Source organism: Homo sapiens, chromosome 5 (genome assembly GCF_000001405.40).
Source record: "Homo sapiens chromosome 5, GRCh38.p14 Primary Assembly".
Taxonomy (NCBI): Eukaryota; Metazoa; Chordata; class Mammalia; order Primates; family Hominidae; genus Homo; species Homo sapiens.
In genome coordinates this window covers 15,954,065-15,961,456 of record NC_000005.10, presented here as the reverse complement: position 1 = coordinate 15,961,456, position 7,392 = coordinate 15,954,065, and positions in this window count along the sequence as shown.

The window sequence follows — 7,392 nt, the reverse complement described above, 5'->3', positions numbered from 1 at the left end:
ATAATTGTGTAAGCCAGTTCCTTAAATCTCTTAAATCACACACACTCTCTCTCTCTACTTATATATGCATTATATATGCATATAAAATATGTATATATATATACACACACACATACAATCTCATATGTGTGTGTGTGTATACTTGTGTGTGTGTATGAGTATCTATATGTACTCATATACATACATATGAGTAGATTTCTTCTGGGAATTGGCTCATTTGATTAAGGATGCCCAGACGTCTCACGATATGTCAAATGCAAGACGGAGAATCAGGGAAGCCAGTAGTGTATTTTAGTCCCAGTTTGAAGCTCTGAGAACCAGGGAAGCTGATGTTTTAACTCCTAGACCAAGAACAAAGGCCTGAGAACTAAGTGTTGGGGACTGCTGGTGTAAGTCTGGAGCAGCAAAATCTGACAACCAGGCGCTCCAGTGTTTGAGGGCAGGAGAACATGACGTCCCAACTCAAGAAAAGAGAGAAGTCACTCTTCCTCTGCCTTTTTGTTTTATTCAGGCAGGCCCTTGATATGCCCCCCGCCCCCACGTTAATAAAGGTGGATCTTCTTAGTCGATTGATTCGAATGTGAACCTCTTCTGAAAACACCTTCACAAGCACATCCAGAAATAATGCTCTATCAGCTATCTGGGTATTCCTTAACCCAGTAAAGTTGACACATAAAATTAACCATCACATTGTATGAATATAATGTATCTGCTATATGTTTATACTTATTTTCACAATCTTTTCTCCCTGGTTTTCTGAAACTTTACAAAAAGATAGACCAGAGGAGAAACCATACCCTCGAGTAGGCCCTGCTTTCTGGGCAATTTCCTTGTCTGTGCCCAGAGCACTTTACTCAGGTGACCTCCCTTCCCAGGGGGTTCACCTTCATCCCTCCCTTTGTTGCTCAGAAGTCTGTGGGGAGTTTCAGACACCAACTGATTTAAGCATAAAGTAACTACCAAATCTACACAATCATATCGAGTGCCTCATCTAGCATTTCCACGTAGATGGGAAACTATGGGCCAGTTTTCTGACTGGTATCATCCCTGCCTTTCTGAGCCAGAAGCGGACACTACACCAGTTTCCCTCAGTTTTATAGTCATTGGAAATTCCCTCAAATTATGGAAGACCTTAACCATCTGTTCTAGTTTTCAGAGGTGTTTTGTCTTTATTAATTGATTAATGATTGGATTAATCAATTGTTGTCAAGAACCTTACAAAAAGTGAAACAAAATTTTAGAGGATTGTGGGGGATGTTTTTTCAAAAGATGCCAGCCAGATGTCACTTTCAGACAAGAAGTCTAGGCCCCTCTTCTTTGATAAGGGGATGAGATACAATTCCATTTATATAAATTATATCTGTCTACTAAAGCAGACACTTGATTGAATCAAAGAGGACTTTTCTTGGACATTCTGAATAATTGGCCAATTCTCCATTTAGCGCACGTATATTGCAGTAATGGTGCTCAAGGGAGGGGGGATGGTAGGCCTAGTTGGTGAGTCTGGCTTATAAACAGGCTGCTTTCATCTTGCTCTTCTTTGGAAATAATGAGGTTTGTAAAATTACTGTAAATATATGTCTGAACACGTAACCCCCCTCACCCCTCTCTCCTCATAATTTCATAAGCAGCTGGTGTTGCCGTGGCAGCTGAACAGAACAAACTTGCTCCTTTCGGGACATCTGTATCCAATATAGGCTATCTGGCATGTCTGTGTCCCTTCTCTGTGTGTAACATGATGGAAAGCAGGCTTAGAGTTTTGGGTTCTTGCCCCATGTACTCCTCTGTATCATGAAGTGAACAGCCACTTCCTCTCCAAGTCTCATAAATGCTACAGGGATTTTCATTTTCCATCAAGGGGATGAGATTTTCTTTCTCCCTGTGATCTCAGAAGTCCTTGCAGCTGGTACTCTGCAGAAAGTGAAGAAAAGCCCGCTAGGCCCTTGATCAGACCATCTGTTCCACAGCCTTATAATTCCAAAAACATAGCGAGTCCCAGTTTTTCATTTTGGCTTTGTAAATAAAAACAATAGACATAAAACAAGCCATAATTGATACCCAAAGTTCAGCAAGATTGGGTGATGGCTATGTATAAAGATCAAATTCATATCCATATCCTAAATTTGTTACCCTTTTTCTTTCTCGAATTTCCCATTCAAAAGAGTCGACTGCTAAAAGGGCCTTGGAAAGTATATTTTTGCTTATACATTCAAATGAGTTATTTGAATGAAGTCATAAATAGATTAATAGACTTTAACCTGATCTTAACTTATTTAGAACAAAGGAGTTTATCTAATAGAGAGAATATTTAACAAAGCTAATCACCTATATAACGGCGGATCTCAATGTGTGGTCCCCAAACCAGCAATATCAGAGTTCTCTGGAAACTTCCTAGAAAGCCAATTCTCCGGCCCCATTAAAATCAGAAAATCCAGAGATGGGGCTCATCAATCTGTTTTAAGAAACCCTCCAGGTAATTCTGATGCATTCTAAAATTTGAGAAGCTCTGGTCTCTAAAAGGTGGCTGGCGAAGTGGATTTGAAAATAAATACCTTTACAATGTGTTTGTTTAGGTAGTGACTAAGTAACTTTGCAGTGGATCCACTTTTTCTGTGAGGACTAACTTGAATGATTTTCCGATTTACCTGTATCAATGGTAGGTCCTGTTACTCTTATGTACAAGATGAGGAAACAAGGTTAGGTGCCTTGCACAAGGTCCCTGAGCTGACTCAGTGTGGACGTGCAATTCAACACAGGAAATCTGAGGCTAAGCAATGGTCACTCTTCCCTGGATTTGTAGGGTTCTGAGAAGGAGTTGGAGACTTCTTGTAAAGAAACCAGGGGCTCTCTAGGTATGAGTATGAGCCCAGACCTGCTCCCAGAAGTGTGGAGATAGGGAAGCTTCTTAGGAAAAGTAGGATTCAACTTCACATTGAATGGCACAGAACTTGTGCTCTCTGATGTATAAGCATCTTTGTCCCTAGAATCACACTCAGGCAAGTCCATTTTTCTATGCTACAGCTCATGCTGATGAAATATCTTTTATATTTTACTCTTACTGGAACTCTTTTCAGTAGTTCCCATTGCTCAGGCTTGGTGTCACGTATGGCTAGAAAGTTCTGCATCACTGTGGATGGAGAATAAAGCCCCTGGTGGTTTGGTTTTCCTGAGGACTATTTCAAGGGTGTCAGCTCAATCTACTTATGAGTGTTCAGAGGGGCCTGCTTATGTACTCTTTAAATGATAGTTTACTTTCCTTATGCCTTGACCATGTGCTATGGTCTAAATGTGTCCCCAAAATTCAAATGTTAAAACTTAATCACCGATGTATATTAAGAGGTGGGGGTTTCAGTAGGTGACTAAGTCATCAGGAGCCCTCATGGGTGGGATTAAGGCACTTATAAAAGGGCTTGAGGGAGTGAATTCCTTGTCTTCTGCTCTTTCACCATGTTAGAACATAATGCTCATCCCCTCCAGGGAACGCCCCAACAAGGCGCCATCTTGGAAGCACAGAGCAGCCCTCATCAGACGCTGAACCAGCTGCCTCTTTTATCTTGGACTTTCCAGTGCCCAGAACAGCAAGAAACAAATTTCTATTTTTTATAAATTACCCGATCTATGGTTTTTCTGGTCCCAGCAGCACAAATGGACTAAGACACAGTAAACTTTTGTCTAGAATGAAAGCAAATGGAAAGTTCTAATTGTATAATTCCTCCTGGATTGTCACCATGAGGCAACATCACATTGTTTGAAGTATCATTGATAAGAGCATTTTATTGCCTTATTTTGTGTACCTATAAACATTTCCAGAAATGGTTCAGTATGGGAAAACTGTGGAGTAATGATTTAATGAAGATCTGTTCTTTCCTTCTGTCCGTTTATAGCCATCATTTGGATAGTTCCTTCTTGGCGCCTTACTTGGACAGCTCAAGTCATGAATGCTCTTCTCAACCTTTCAAGGACAGGTGAGCAGCACCCATGTTCCTGGAATCCCCTTTGTATCCAGCACCCACCACCTCCTCCACAAACCCTAGGCAGGTTTTGGATGCTTCTTCCATTGATGGGTGTGGTCTACCCTGCTCACGAACTCACCACAGCTGGGGCTGCTCAAGCGCTGACTGCTGCTGGATAAACACAGCCCTGCAGGGTGGCTGCTGGGGTCACCTTCTGTCCTCACAGGCAAACGTGGCCAGTGCTATCTGCAGTGGTCAGGCCCTCTGTCAGTGTCACCCGGGCCCTCTCAGTCGCTGCCACTTCTCTTTCCCTGGGCTTCCTGTTGCCATGACACTGCTCTCTCCTGTCTTTTATTTTTCTTTCCCATGGGCCAAAACAGAACAGAACAGAACAGGACTTGGGGTACAGTTAGTTATTTAGGGCTGAGAATACAAAGCTGCTTGATTCCCTGTCTTCCCATTCTCCACCACAAACCTGTTGACCTCCTTCATCCCCCGGTAACATTACAGTGCCTATTTCTAAGCCAGATTTTTCGAGTAGGAGAGTGATACGTTACCAAGTGGGAAGGGAAGACCAAATTCAAAGCAATTTGGCATTGCTATAAACTCAATCCCAAAAGACTAAGTTAACTCTGAATGTTTTTAAAACTGCGCCAGCCTAGGTATTTGCTTACTCAGCAGGTGAAGAATTACCATTTACCGAAACAGAATTAAGCAGCAAAGTTCATTCTTGAATCATAAAGATGTTACAATTAGACTTATGGGTTTGTTGGTATTGTTAAGAGTATCAACTCGGTGTTCAGAAATACAGATTATAAATTGCTTTAAAATAGAAAAGAAATGGAAAGAATTCTTACAAAATTTTCTGACACAACTATTATCCTTTTTTGGAAGGCTATTTGACGTCAGAAGTATTATATTTTTAGAAACTTTTCAGGAAATAGGCTACACTGGACTTTATACCTCAAGTAGGTAAGTTTGTGGCTTATAGATGAGGGTCTTACATGCACCAAGAAATGTGTTGCAGTAAGAAAGTTAATAAATCGATACTCCATTAGTATTTAAATTCAAATCTCACCATTTTTGAGTTATAGTCAGGGTTCTTCAATTCAGACATGATATCTGAAGGTGGCTGCAGCTATACTACATGATTTAGCAGCCAGAAATCTATCCAAATTAAAGACATGTGAGCAGAGTATTCCTGAAGACAACCATGGGCAGCTTGGTGGAGCAGAGCATGAAAACAGATGCAAGAGCCTTCCGGATTTGCAGGCTGAAGACTTCGGTGGCTGTGCATGTGCATTCCTTAGTCCTTACACTTTCACAGGCTTTTGAGGTTGACAAAACACTTTTATTTATCATCTCTCACATTTCTCGCCCTATCACTTAGGGAAGAGAACTGGATCAAATTCCATAAGTGAGAGATGAGGTTGTAGGGGAGAAGAAATTCTTTTTCCCATGATTCTCCTAGGTTCTCTACCTGGGATCTTGTAAATTAGTCTGACAAAAGACAGATGAACATGAGAATAATAAACAGAAGTCTATTAACATGTGCATGATGCACACACATGGGAGCTTTCAGAGAGGAGGAACTCCAAGAGGTGGTGAGAATGTGGGGTCCATGTACCTAACTCAATGGGAAAGGGCCAGGGGTAAAAGGGCACTTATGGAAAGAAAAATGACTATTTGGAAAGACAAATGGTCACTTATGAAAATAAATGGGAAATGTGACAGTTTGTGACAATGTCTGTCTCAGTGTGGTGCTGACTTCTCTCTGAGAAGGTTAGAGTTGCTCTCAGGGAGGAAATTTATGGATATTGAGTTGTTTGGGGAGGCTTTGCTTTTAGGCACATAAAAAGATTTCAGAAACTCAGAAGCCTTCAGCACAAAATAGTTATTATGCAAAAGTGGCATATGTTGAGGTGACATGTTCTGATCCCCTTGATCCTCTTCAAGGCCACTGAGGATAGAAAGATTAAGTGATCTGCTCCGGGTCACACAGCTAATTAGGCATAGAGCTGGTACTTCTTCTCCAAGCCTATTGGTGTCTCCATGATTCCAGCCCTCTCAGGAGGTGGCAGTGAATGCCACACATTGACCACCACTTCTTTATCCTAATAAATGATGAAGGAAGCAGTTATAGGAAGCAGCCAGTCATGCTATAGGGGATCAGTGATGGTGATGGGGCATGGCATTTTCACAGCCACTATTTATACTTCCTGATCCCTCTAGCTAAAAAATGGTGGCTGATGACCTGCACTTATTAGTCCTGCTGTCATAACAGATACTGTGAGGGAACACTCCTGTCATCAATGCTTCAGAGGTATATATGTCTGACACCTGTGTACTTGAGTCAGCAGATAAACATTCCATTTTCTTCACTGAAAGGTTTGCATCCTTTCATGGATGGGTTCAATTTATGTCTTGTGAAAAAAATATCACCATGTACATTTAGGAGAAATCAGAAAAGAATAGATCCAGGTTCTCATTTGTCACAGCATGGAAATATTTGGAATGACTCTGTCTGCACCACATTCTGAAGATGATAATAGAAGCTGAGTGTTACCAGCAATACCATCATGTGATGCATAAATATTCACATCCCTTTTCTGGAAAGGAAATACTACTGTAGTTTTTTTTTTTAAGAGTAAGAAGAGAAGAAAATGAAATGTTTGTGTGTCTTCTAACTTATCTACAGGGAACTTTTTTTTTTTTCTGGTCTTGAATTTCTAGTCATTACCTATCCTCACCCACTCCCTGTCAGTCCTCACGTTGCTAAATTCTGATATCAAATTAGATGCTGGAAATGTTATCCAGCTATGATTTCAGCAGATCTGCGCTACCGTAAAAATCCTCTGGGCCAAGAAGTGCTCCTCTGTCTCTCCTTGGGGAAGCAAGAAGGATGTGTCATTGGGTTCTTAATGTGAAGATCAGCCTGTGATGTCCAACTTTCAGAGTGTCTCCGCATCCCTTTCCCCAGAAGGCCTTATGCCTCCGGTTTAGAAAAGCAATTTAACACGTGCAGTGATTTAAAGTAATGTCAAAAGATGAAAAGAAGATAACTACTGGTGGTATCAAGCCATAAAGGACACAGTCAACTGTGGTATTTCAGCATCACATGGAGAAATAAGACTTTGGGCTTCAGAGAAAAGAATATTCTCTGGGATATTTGTCCCAAACTCAAACCCCTCACCCTCCATTACTGTTACCTCAGTGGAGTTCAGAGGAGTGAGCTGTTGATCAGGCTGATGGTGTCTTTGACACTTTCAGAAGTTCCCTTGGGATGTAATTGACACCTGCTAGCATGATTGGTTTCTGCTGTTCTATTCCCTATGCTCAGCTTCTATATGATTTTGTATCTTCAAACCAAATTGTGGCCAATTATAGCTTGACCCTGATTATAAAAATAATTGAGGGCCTCAGCTTTTACTCCTCTGTG